This window comes from Homo sapiens, chromosome 19 (genome assembly GCF_000001405.40).
Source record: "Homo sapiens chromosome 19, GRCh38.p14 Primary Assembly".
Lineage (NCBI taxonomy): Eukaryota > Metazoa > Chordata > Mammalia > Primates > Hominidae > Homo > Homo sapiens.
Genome location: NC_000019.10, coordinates 29,986,143 through 29,999,815, shown reverse-complemented (window position 1 = coordinate 29,999,815; position 13,673 = coordinate 29,986,143). Strand labels below are relative to the sequence as shown.

The window sequence follows — 13,673 nt, the reverse complement described above, 5'->3', positions numbered from 1 at the left end:
TTGTGGTTATTTAAAGCTATATACATCTATCATAAACTAAAATCATAAATTTGTATTTTGAAATGCCTTATTGGAGATACTCAAGAGCATACACATTGCTTGATAAGGTACGAATCTACAAATCCAAGAAGCTCAACGAAATCCAAGTAGGATAAACCCAGACCCACACCAAGACACACTATAATCAAACTGTTGAACAACAACAAAGAGAGAATCTTGAAAGCATCAAGAGAAAAACCACTCATCACAAACAAGAAATCTTCAACAAGATTATCAGATTTCTCAGCAGAAACCCTGAAGCACAGAAGGTTATGGGATGACATATATTTAAAAAGTGCTGAGAGAGAAACAAAATACTTCATCCAAGAATTCTATGTTTAGCAAAACAACAGTCTTTTAAAAATGAGGGGAAATTTAAGATATTCCCAGATAAACAAGAGTTGAGGGCATTCCTCACCACTAGACCTGCAATCCAAGAAATGCTAAAGGAAGTTCTTCGGGTAGAAATGAAAAGACAGTAACTCAAAGCTATATGAAAACACAGATCTCTGATAAAGGTAAACACATAGGCAAAAATAAGTATTACTGTCATTTTGGTTTGTAACTCCACTTTTTTCTTTTCTATGTGATAAAGAAAAATGAATACACATCACTGGACATCTATATTAATGGAGACACAATATATAAAGATATAATTTGTGACACAAATAATATAAAGAGGTGAAGGAGCTGAACAGGAATAAAGCCTCTGTATGTGATTGAAGTTAAGTTGGTATAAATTCAAAATACATTTTATAACCTTAGGATGTTCTATGTAATCGCCATGGTAACCACAAAGAAAATACCTATATTTTAAAAAGAAGTGAAAAGGAGATCAAAACCATTCACCATAAAAAAAAATCAAACACAAAGGAAGGCAGTAATATAGAAATGAGTCAAAAAAAAGCTATAAAACATGCAGAAAATAACAAAACAGCGAAAGTCTTTCCCCCATCAGTAATTACTATACATGTAAACAGATTAAACTTCCCAATCAAAAAGCATAAATTGGCAGAATCAATTGTTTTAAAAAAAGGATCCAACTATATACTGTCTATAAGAGACTCACTTGTAGATCTAAGGGCACAAATAGGTTGAAAGTGAAGGAATGAAAAAGATATTCCATACCAATAGTAACCAAAAAAGAAATGAAGTAGCTATAGTAGTATCAGACAAAATAGACTTTAAATTAAAAAAGTCACAAGAGACAAAGGATATTTCACACTGATAAAAGGTTCAATCTATCAAGATACAACAATTATAAATACATACATACCTAACAGAGCTCAAATGTACAAAGCAAAAATGTACAGAACAGAAGGGAGAAATTATTTCACCATAATAGCTGGAGGAGACATGAATATCCCCTTTTCAATAAAGGACAGAACAGCCAGAAGGAAATAAAGAACATGAACACCACTAAAGACCAATTAGACCTAATAGACATATATAGAAACCTCCACCCAACAACAGGAAAAATACACACCTTCTAAGGGAAACATGGAACAGTCACCAGGATAGGTCATATGAGAGGCCACAAAATAAGTCTCGAAAAATTTAACAAGATTGAAATCATATAAAGTATCTTTTCTAACTGGAATGCTCAATAACATTAAAAATCATTAATAGAAGGAAAATTGGAAAAAGTCATAAATATATGAAAATTTTACAAAATAATCTGTCAATGGGTCAAAGAAGAAATCATAGGCATAATTAAAAAATATGGCTGGGCACAGTGGCTCCCAGCACTTTAGGAGGCCGAGGCAGGCAGATTGCTTGAGGCCAGGAATTCAAGACTAGCCTGGACAACATGGTGAAACCCCGACTCTACTAAAAATACAAAAATTAGCCAGGCATGGTAGCCCTCACCTGTAGTCCCAACTACTAGGGAGGCTGAGGCAGAAGAATCCCTTCAACGCGGGAGATGGAAGTTACAGTGAGCCGATATTGCACCACTGCACTCCAGCCAGGGCAACAGAGTGAGTGAGACTCTGTCTCAAAAGAAAAGAGAAAATACCCTGAGACCAACAAAAATGAAAACTCAACGAAAATTTATGGGATGCAGCAAAGCAATGCTAAGAAAGATATTTATAGCTGTAAATACCTACATCAAAAAAAAAGAAATACTTCAAATCAGTAACTTCACTGTACACTTTAAGAAACTGGAAAAAAAAGAAAGAGTAAACTGAACCCAAAGCTAACAGAAGAAAGGAATAACAAAGATTAGAGAATGATAAACAAAACAGAATTTTTATAAAATGCTGAAAAATTAATGCAACCAAAAGTTGGTTTTTTACAAGATCAACAAAATTGACAAATCTTTATTAGACTGTCTAAGAAAAAAAGAGAAGATTCAAATCACTAAAATCACAAACAAAAGTGGAACAATAAAAACTATTACAGAAATTAATGGGATTATACAGAAATAGTACAAACAACTGACTGCCAACAAGTTTGATAATTTAGATAAAATAGACAAATTCCTAGAAAAACACAAACTACCAAAACTGAAATCTGAATAGACTTGTAACAAGTAGCATATTGAATCAGTAATCAAAAACCTCCCAACAAAGAAAGGACCAAGAAGAGATGCTTTCACAGATGAATTCTACCAAACATTCAAAGAATTAACACCAATCCTCTCAAACTCTTCTAAACAATGAAAAGGGAGGGAACACATTCTGTGAGCCAGCCAGATAAAAATATGAAAACTACAGGCTAATTTCTCTTATGAATATACATATAAAAATCCTCAACAAAATGCTGGCAAACTAAATACGGTAGCACATTAAAAGAATGATACATCATGACCAAGAATGATCTCTGCCACACCCTGGAATGCAAGGATGGGTTCAACATATAAAAATCAATGTAATATACTACATTAGCAGAATGAAGAGGAAAAAACATGGTAATCTCGATTGAATCCAAAAAAGCCTTTGACAAAATCCAACAACCTTTCATGATTAAAAAAAAAAACTCAATAAATTAGAAACAGAAGGGAACTTCCATAACATAATAAAGGCCATATATGAAAACCCCACACTGACATCACACTCTATGATGAAAGACTGCGAGTCTCTCCCCTAAGATTGGGAATAAGACAAGGATGCTCACTATGAACATGTCTATTCAACAACATACTAGAAGTTCTAGCTAGAGCAATTAAGCAAGAAAAACAAATAAAAAGCCTCCAAATTGGAAAGAAGTCAAGTTCTCTCTACTACCAACATATGATACAATCTTATATGTAATATGCAGAAAACCCTAAAGAATACACACACACACACACACACAAAACACCCTTGTAAAGCTAATAAAAAAAATTCAGCAAAGTTGCAGGATGCAAAATCAACACACAAAAATCAACTGCATTTCTATGCACTAACAATGAGCAATCTAAAAAGGAAATTTGTAAGCAATTCATTTAAACTAGAACCAAAAGGACTAAACTCTTAAGAAGGTGCAAGACTTGCACACTAAAAACTATAAAGTGTTGCTAAAACAAATAAGACACAAATAAATAGATATCCTATGTTCACGGAGTGAATATATTTAATAATTAGGATGTCAATACTACCCATGGCAACCAACAGACTCAGTGCAACTCCCAGTAAAATCCAGTAATTTTTTTTTTGCAAAAACAGAAAAGCCCATTCTAAAATTCACATGGAGTCTCAAGGGTTCCCCAATAACCAAAACAATATTTAAAAAGAAAAACTAAGTTGTAAGTCTCATCTTTCTGTTTTCAAAACTTACTATAAAGCTACCCTCATCAAAATAATGTGGTACCAACATAAATACAGACTTACGGACCAAAAAATAGAATACAAAGCTCAGACATAAGACCTCATAAATGTATGACCAAATGATTTTTGACAAGAGTGTAAAAACCATTCAAAAAGGTAAGGACAGTGTTTTCAGCAAATCGTGTTGAGAAAACTGGAACCACATGCAAAAGAATAAAGTTGGACCCTTACCTTACAAGCATATATAAAATGGATACAGCAACCTAAATGAAAGCTAAATCTAGGAAACTCAAAAAAAAAAACACAGGGAAGCTGCTTCATGACATTTGGCAACAATTTCTTAGATATGACATGAAAAGCATAGGCAAAAACAAAAAAACACTAACTGGACAGTGAAAATTAAAAATTTTTGTGCATCAAACAACATTATCAAGAAAGTAAAAGGGCACTCTACCTGGCAGCTATTTTTTTTTTTAAGTAAGACAAAATAAAAGAAGAAAGTAAAAGGGCAACCAACAGACCAGGAGAAAATATTTGCAAATTACACTTCTGATAAGGGACTAATATCCAGAATATATAAAGAACTACAACTGAACAAGAAAAACAAACAACCCAAATAAAAAATGGGCAAAAGACTTGAATAGACATTTCTCCAAAGATGATATACATGTGGCCAATAAACACATGAAAAGATGCTCAACATAATTAATCACTGAAGAAATACAAATCAAAACCCTGCTGATACTTCACTTCAAATCCACTTCAAACTATATTCCTTGATGATATGCCACTTCAAAATATATTTATTTTATATATAAAAAATATAGTAACAAGTGTTGACAAGAATGTGGGAAAACTGGATTCCTTGTATTTTGGTGTTGAGAATATAAAATGGTACAGCTGCTGTGAAAGACAGAATGGAGGTTCCTTAAAAAATACAACATAGGGCCGGGCGTGGTGGCTCACACCTGTAATCCCAGCACTTTGGGAGACTGAGGCAGATGCATCACCTGAGGTCAGGAGTTCAAGATCAGCCTGGCCAACATGGTGAAACCCTGTCTCTACTAAAAATACAAAAAATTAGTCGGGCATGGTGGTGCACACCTGTAGTCCCAGCTACTCAGGAGGCTGAGGCAGGAAGGCTCTTGAACCTGGGAGGCGGAGGCTGCAGTGAGCCAAGATTGCACCACTGCACTCCCAGCCTGGGCAACAGAGTGAGACCCTGCCTCAAAAAAAAAAAAAAAAATCCACAGAATTTCCATATGATCCAGCAATTCCACTTTCAGATATACACCCCAAATAATTTAAAGCAGGGAACTAAATAAATATTTGTATACCTATATTCATAGCAGCACTATTCACAATAGCGAACAGAATAATTCACATTATTCACAAAATAAAATATTGTTCATCCTTAAAAAAAAGGAAATTCTGACACGTGCTACAACACAGATGAACCTAGAAAACATTATGCTATGTGAAATAATCCAGACACAAAAGGACAAATGCTGTAGGATTCCACTTATGTAAGGTATCTAGAATAGCCAAATTCATATGGAAAGTAGAATAGTGGTTACCAGGGGATGGGGGGAGGAAGGAAAAAATGGGGAGTTATCACCTAACTGGTACAGTTTTAATTTGAGAAGATGAAAAATATCTGGAGATGGATGGTGGTTATAGCTGACCAACCATGTGAATGAGGGGAAGGGAAGGGAGGGGAGGGGAGGAAAAGGAGGAAAAGACAGTAAGTTAGCTAGTTAGCAGTGCCAGGGGGCCTACAATAAGGTATCAGTTTCAAAACAAGTTTGCAAACACATTGGGTTGGCAAAGGTGTAGTCAGTCTGTTAAAGCCAGCACTGTCAAAGTTAAAAATCTACTTCACTTCATGCCAGCAATTGTATCTTAAGTCATTTATACTACAGATACACACAAGTACAAATGATACACACACACACACACACACATACACACAGAGGTTATTCACTGCAGCATTGATTTTAACAGCAAAAAAAAAGGAAGACGATCTAAAGGCCTATCAGTAAAGGACTGGCTAAATAGAGTACAATATAATACTATATAGCCATGAAAAGAATAAGACAGCAAGCTGCCAAAACAAAAAAATAAAAGTGTGCCTACAATTTGAGTGGAGGTGTATAGGGTGGGGTAGGAATGCATAAGTCTATGGCTGTAAATGCACAGAATATCCCTGGAATAATGAGTAAGATACTGATAACAGCGATGCCTCCAGGGAGGTAAACTGGATGTTAAAGAACAAGAAAAGGAAGCATAGTTGTTTTTTAATAAATATCCTTTAGATTTTGTATCATGTCCATATATAACCTACTAAAAAAATAATTTTTAAAAAAGCCCATCTTGTGAATGACCTGATGCACCTCATACAATCTTTCTTCTCCTATCACTTAAAAAAAAAAGCTGTATTCGGTGCTAACGTCTTATCACCCACTTTCTTCTGAAATCTGCCTAAAAATGTATTCCTAAATCAAGATTTTCTTTAGAATGCTCTGTAAGATAACAGACATTACATTTTAAAAGTTTCTCAAAATCAAGTAAGTTTGGGAACCACAACATTAAACAAGACTAAAGGGATATTTTTCATTACAGGGCTTCTAAGTAACGTGCCTATGTGCATTTTACTCTCTGGTAGAGGGAAAGTAGTGTGCAGTGATCTACAAACTTACTTGATTATGTCAACAACATTGCCTCTAGGTCACCACTCATCCAATGCTTCCCCTCAACCTTCACATTCAATCAGTTGCCAAGTCCTATCAGGCTCAGAAATTCTTCCTGCTTCTGATCTCTTCTCTAAGCCTATAGCCATTACCCCTAGTTCATGCTCTTATCCCTTCATGTCCACTCTTCCATTTAATAAAAATAACTTTATTGTAAAAATGAAGACTAAGTATGCATTTTTAAGACAAAAGTAAAAATAAGATAAAATAAATGTGTCAGATACAATTCTGAACAAAAGACACACGGTAAAATAATTCTCCCCATATTATCTTTGAAAGGAAAATCTATTAAGATCATCCTATAAGTAAAACTGTTTAACATTAATCACTGGACTAATGACTAGAAATGTGGCCAAATGCCTGTTGTCACAGCCAAAAATTCTAAGACATGGTGCCTAGATACTAGAATTTCAAGTCATTCTATATACCGGTGTTCAAAAGTAGATTACAGAGACATGCAGAAACAAAATTACCAAAAACTTGTCTATACTGTAGAAACCTCTGATTAAATCCTGGTCTTTTCACTTAGTCTCATTGAAGATGTACTCCTTTCTAAGCCAAAAATTGCTCTCTAACGTAAAAAAGAATTCAGCAAATCTCAAAGCAAGTATTTAGAGTAAAACTTTTAAGTTCACGTGAAATACATTAATCCCTAATTTGTAACATTAAAAATACTTTAAGAAGTTCCTATTTCAGCAACAACAGAGTAATAAGATACTAAAAATATTAAATAATCTAAAAGAGGACAAGAAAGGGTAACAAGAGGAACAAAAACGGGGGAATGCCAAACCTGAATCCAAACATATTACATTAAATGTAAATGGTCTAAGTACATCAATTAAAAGACTGAAATTATCAGAATCAATTAAAAAGGAAAGATCCATGCTGCCTATAAGAAACTCACTTTAGGCCAGGCACAGTGGCTCACGCCTGTAAACCTAGCACTTTGGGAGGCCAAGGTAGGCAGATCACTTGAGGTCAAGGGTTCGAGATCAGCCTAGCCAACATGGTGAAACCCCATCTCTATAAAAAATACAAAGATTAGCTGGGCATGGTGGCACTCGCCTGTAATCCCCACTACTCGGGAGGCTGAGGCGGGAGAACCACTTGAACTTGGGAGGTGGAGGTTGCAGTGAGTCAAGATCAGGCCACTGCACTCCAGCCTGGGCAATAGAGCAAGACTCTGTCTCAAAAGAACAAAAAAAAGAAACCCACTTTAAATATGATATAGTTAGCATAAAAGTAAAAGAAATGGAAAAATATACGCCATGCAAATATTAAACAAAAAAAGCTCAATGTATCAAATCCAGTAATACATGAAAGAATACACCATGATCAAATGCGGTTCATCCAGGGAAGAAAAATCAATCAATATAATCCACCACATTAACAGATACAGAAGAAAAACTACAAGATCATATCAATAGATGCAGAAAATACACTGGACAAAATTCAACATATTTTCATTTAAAAAATCCGCAAATTAGAACCAGGTAGAAAGTTCCCTAAACTTATAGGGAGTATTAATTTTTTTAAAAAACCTACAGCTAACACACACTTAACAATAAAATGCCAAATTTTTCCCCAGAAGATCAGTTTCAAGACAAAGACACCTACCTACTCTTACCACTCCTATTCAATATTATACTGCAAGTCCTAGCCAAGGAAGTAAGGCAAGAAAAAGAAATGAAGTGTATACACCTTGGAAAGGAATAAAAAAAAATAGGAGCTATTTACAAAAGGCATGATTGTCTACATAGAAAATCCCATGGAATCTACCCCAAAAAAGTTCAGAGAACAAATGTGGTCAGCATGAATGGAGGATACAATGTTAATTCTTTTTTAAAAAGAGTTATTTCTATATACTAGAACACTTGAAAAACAAGATTTTAAAATGCCATCATTTACAACAGCTCCACAAAAGGTGAAACACTTAGATATAAACCTAACAAAACGCATATGACCTGTATGCTCAAAAACTACAAAACTGATTAAAGAAGTCCTAAATACAGAGATACACTGTATTTACAGGCTGTAAGTATTTACACACTGGAAGATTTAATAGTTAAGAGGTCAATTCTCCCCAAATTAATGTGTTGATTTAGTGCGATTCCAATCAAAATCCCACTAGGAGTTTTTGTAAACATAAGCGAGTGGTTTCTAAAATGTATATGGAAAGGCAAAGGAGGTAGAACAGCCAAAACAATTTGGAAAGAATAAACTTAGAGCACCCGTACTACCAACTTTAAGGAACACTGTAAGGAACACTATAATGCTACAGTAATCAAAACAGAGTGGCATCAGCAAAGAGACAGACACATAGATAAAGAAACAGAACAGATGGTCCAAAAACACAATTACACAAAATGGCTCATTCATTTGTTTTTTAACAATTTAAGTTATAATTCACATAACATACAATTCACCCATTTAAAATGTACAATTTGATGGTTTTCGTATATTCAAAGGGTTGTGCAACCATTACCAAAATCTGTATTTTTGTATTTTCATTGCCCCTAAAAATCTCCATACTCTTTAGCAGTCACTCTCCATTCTCTCTCACACCTTCCTGGCCCTAAGCAGCCACTACTCTCCTTTCTTTTATAAATTTACCTTTTCTGAATATTTCATGTAAATGGAATCATACAATATATGGTCTTTTGTGACTGGTTTCTTTAATTTATTCTAATGTTTTCAAGGTACACATCTTTTTATTGCCAAACAACATTCCACTGCATGGATGTACGACACTTATTCACCTGTTATTAGTTGATAGACATTTAGGTTGTTTCCATGTTTCGGCTACTATAAGCAGTGCTGCTCTTAATATTCATGTACAAGTATTTGTGGACATACATTTTTATTTCCCTTGGGTAGAATACTATCTAGGTGTGGAACTGCTAGATCACAGTAAAACACAATGTTTAACTTGCTGAAAAATTCCAAACTGTTCTCCAAAGTGGCTTCCCCAGTTTACAGTCCCACCAGCAATGAATGAGGGTTCCAATTTTTTCACATCCTCACCAACAAGTGTTACTGTCTTTTTTATTATAACCATCCTAGTGTGGTATCTAAGATGGTCTTGTTGCCAATTCATTTTGACAAAGGTGCAAAGTCATTTCAATGGAGACAGAACAGTATTTTCAACATAGTATTGGAGCAACTGGACATCCATATGCAAGAAAAATGAACCGTGACCTAAACCCCACACCTCAAACAAAAATTAACTTAAAATCAATCACAGATCTAATTGTAAAATATCAAAGTATAAAACTTTCAGAAGAAAACACAGAAGAAAATCTTCAACAACTAAGGTTAGGTAAAGCGTTCTTAGATATGACACCACACATATGATCCATTAAAAAAAGCTAAAAGCTGAACTTCATAATTAAAAACTTGCTCTGGAAAGACACTGTTAAGAGAATGAAAAGACAAGATGCAAAGTGGGAGAAAATATTTGCACATCACCTATTTAACATAAATCCAGAATATATTAAAAAAAAAAAAACTCTCAAAACGACAGTAAGAAAATATACAATGCAGCGGGGTGCGGTGGCTCATACCTGTAATCTCAGCACTTTGGGAGGCCAAGGTGGGTGGACCACAAGGCGGACAGATCATGAGGTCAGGAGTTCAAGACCAGCCTGACCAACATGGTGAAACCCTGTCTCTACTAAAAATACAAAAATTAGCCGGGCGTGGTGGTACGCACCTGTAATCTCAGCTACTCAGGAGGCTGAGCAGGAGAATCACTTGAACCCGGGAGGCGGAGGTTGCGATGAACTGACATCGCGCCACTGCACTCCAGCCTGGGCGACAGAGTGAGACTCCATCTCAAAAAAAAAGAAAGAAAATATATAACCCAGGCCAGGTGCAATGGCACACGCCTGTAATCGCAGCACTTTCAGAGGCTGAGGCGGGTGGATCACCTGAGGTCAGGAGTTCAAGACCAGCCTGACCAACATGGTGAAACCCCATCTCTACTAAAAGTACAAAAAAATTAGCCGGGCATGGTGGCGCATGTCTGTAATCCCAGCTACTCAGGAGGCTGAGGCAGGAGAATTGCTCGAACCTCGGAGGCTAAGGTTGCAGTGAGCCAAGATCGCCCCACTGCACTCCAGCCTAGGCGACAGAGTGAGACTCCATCTCAAAAAATAAAAAAAAAAAAGCATATATAACCCAATATTTTAAAATGGGCAAAAGAGTTCAACAGGTAAAAGAGGACACAAAGATAAAATAAGTGCATGAATCAATGCTCAACATCATTAGGCAATGATGCAAACTAAAATCACTATACACCTATTCAAATGGCTACACTTCTTAAACTGACAATATTGAGGGCTGGTAGAGACGCAAAGATACCACTATCACACACTGCTGAAAGAGATGTAAATCATACAGCCACTTTGGAAAACAGCTTGGTAGTCTCTTAAAAATTGAACATACATTTATCATATGATCTAACAATCTCACTTGTAGGTATTTACCAACAGCAATAAAAATGTATGTTCGCACAAAAACCTGTACACAAAGGCTTACAGCAGCTCTGTTCCTAACCGCCAAAAAATGGAAGCACCCAAATGTCCCTCAAAAGGTGAATGGAAAAACTGCTGTACGTGCATTTAATAGATATGCATGTAACGGAACACTCCTCAGCAATAAAAGAAATGAACTTTGAATACACAGAACCACCTGGATGAGGCGTTACAGCAAGTGAAGAAGCTAATCTCAAAAGACACAGACGTGAAGTCGTCAATCCTTCAGCAGTAGGCAGCCGTAGGGTGTGACCACCAAGGGGCAGTGTGAGGGAGGTTTTGATAGGAGCTGAGTCCTGAGAGCAGTATCTTGTATCCTATTCCGTGTCCTGACTGTGGTGCTGGCTAAACAAATCATGACCCGTGTTGTAACTCAGACCTTCCCCAATTACCCCAATCAACCATGACATAGATGACTATGTGTTTAACTGGTTATATTTCCTCTGCCTTAAGAAAAATAAAGTACCTTTTCTTAATAAATGTGAAGTACAACAATATACCTAAGTATTTTCTTCAGGTATAAATTATAAAACCATGTGAATAAAAGAGCTTTACGTAATTTTTTTTTTTTTTTTGAGACAAAATTTCGCTTTGTTGCCCAGGCTGGAGTGCAGTGGCACAATCTCAGCTCACTGCAACCTCCACCTCCTGGGTTCAAGTGATTCTCCTGTCTCAGCCTCCCAAGTAGCTGGGACTACAGGCACACACCACCACGCCCGGCTAATTTTTGTATTTTTAGTAGAGACGAGGTTTTACCACGTTGGTCGGGCTGGTCTCGGACTCCTGACCTCAGGTGATCCACCTGCCTTGTCCTCCCAAAGTGCTGGGATTACAGGCATGAGCCCCTGCGCCCGGCCCAGAATTTATTGTAACAGGAAATATGTACTTTGAAAATTATTTTAGATAAATATTGATCCCAAAAGTCATCTATGTTTGGTCACTTTCCAAAACCATATTTAACTACTAGAAAGTGATTTACAAAAACATGTTTCTCTACTCTAGAGCTCTATTCTATTGTAGTATAAGTATTCCCATTAATATTTTAAGTTATAACTAATTATAAAGATTTTTTTCACTGAAATATGAAAATCAATGTGAACAAACTTCAACAGGCTATGGATTCATTTCATAACATCAGAGCTACTTCAGTATATAAAGAGAGGCTTCGTCTTCAGTAAGGTCTTTAAGAAAAAAGTATGCCCATTCTCTTTCGCTAATATACATGACAAAAATAATGCAGCAAAGCCAAAAGATTTATCATTGCCAGAAATTACATACAGGCCTAACAATAAGATTCTGATTAGTGTCACAAAAGATCAAAATATATATCAATTATAAACTTATAGGAGTTGATTTGCAATTAGAGTCTCCAAATATAGTTCCCAGAATTTCACTGAGTAAATGAGTTCTCTAGTACTCATTCATGTATAAGTGAAATCAAGTTCAGCTTTAGAAAACTCAGCTGTTTTCTGTTTAGTATGACCTTATTTATAAAAAAGGATCTTCCCATCATTTATTTTCAAATACACATTTAACTAAAAGGTTAAAAAGCAGGTAGGGCGGATATTATACTCTCAATCTAAATACGTATTACAGAAATAACAACAGATTATAAACTGAACCTAATTTTAAAATATAACTAAGCTAGAACCCAAGCTAGCTCATCCAACTGCAAAATGTGTAGTGTGTGTTGTGTGTGTGTATGTAGGCTTCTATACACCTACAGATAATAGCACGGATAAACAAAACTCAAGAGCTGCCCTAATAAAGGGATGCAGAGAACTCAAACAACTGAAAAAGGATAAGGGTGCTGTTTTAGGTAGCACCTTTTCACACCTGGTCTCCTCTATCAAATGAAAATATGGTTTTTTTTCCAAACCAAAAAGCATTTTTAAGAATTGTCTACTTATGTAAACAGGTATTTCTCTTAGTTCACTAAGGAGAAAACACATTATTTCTGTGTACTAAAGTATTAAGTGCAAAAATAAGTCTATAATAGCAACTAAAAAAAAATTATAAGGTATAAAATGACTCCAATTTTTATGTCTTCCCAACTTCTAACTACAAAATCACATAATGACTTTGAAACTTTGTAACTTCTGAAAACATGCCAATGTAGGTGACATTTCCAACCCGGATGCTCCATTCTCCAGCTCATTCTCAAATGTTGGTTCTACTCAAACTACCTACAATTCAACAGAATCACAAACAGCCTGGATTCATAGATCACGGAAGGTACTTTTGGTAAGAAACAGCCCTTCAGCTTGGCAATCTGTGAATGGATACATATACAACAAAGAAACATCATTTAAAATGGGTACCTACGTTCTTTCCGGTGCTCAACTAAACCTACAGCCTGCTTTGCTGAGCACTTTGCAAACCAGTTGTCCCCCAGTAAAACAGTGACTTCATTAGTATGGACAAGTTTTCCTGGCATGAAGGCAAAAGGGCCAAATGGTACCTATTGTTTAAAAAAAAAGAAAAAAGGGAAAAAACATAAAACACTGAAAAGTACATTTTATAAAACACTTCGCATTAAAAGCCTTACATAACTGAATTTTTTTATTTATACATTGGGAAAAATAAAATGCCAGCTTCAC

At 35.7% G+C, this 13,673-nt stretch overlaps 1 protein-coding gene across 8 annotated transcripts in view; it reads right to left on the bottom strand.

The window, feature by feature from the left end:
• URI1 (URI1 prefoldin like chaperone) overlaps positions 1-13,673 on the bottom strand; it is a 92,956-nt gene that overhangs the window by 16,797 nt on the left and 62,486 nt on the right. For all 8 annotated transcript variants that reach the window (NR_045557.1, XM_005259362.3, NM_001252641.2 and 5 more), the window contains one exon: positions 13,399-13,534. Coding sequence is in view for 7 of the 8 variants with exons in the window: in XM_005259362.3 (XP_005259419.1) it covers positions 13,399-13,534 (136 nt within the window). In the remaining variant the exon portion in view is untranslated. The remainder of the gene's footprint in view (positions 1-13,398; positions 13,535-13,673) is intronic.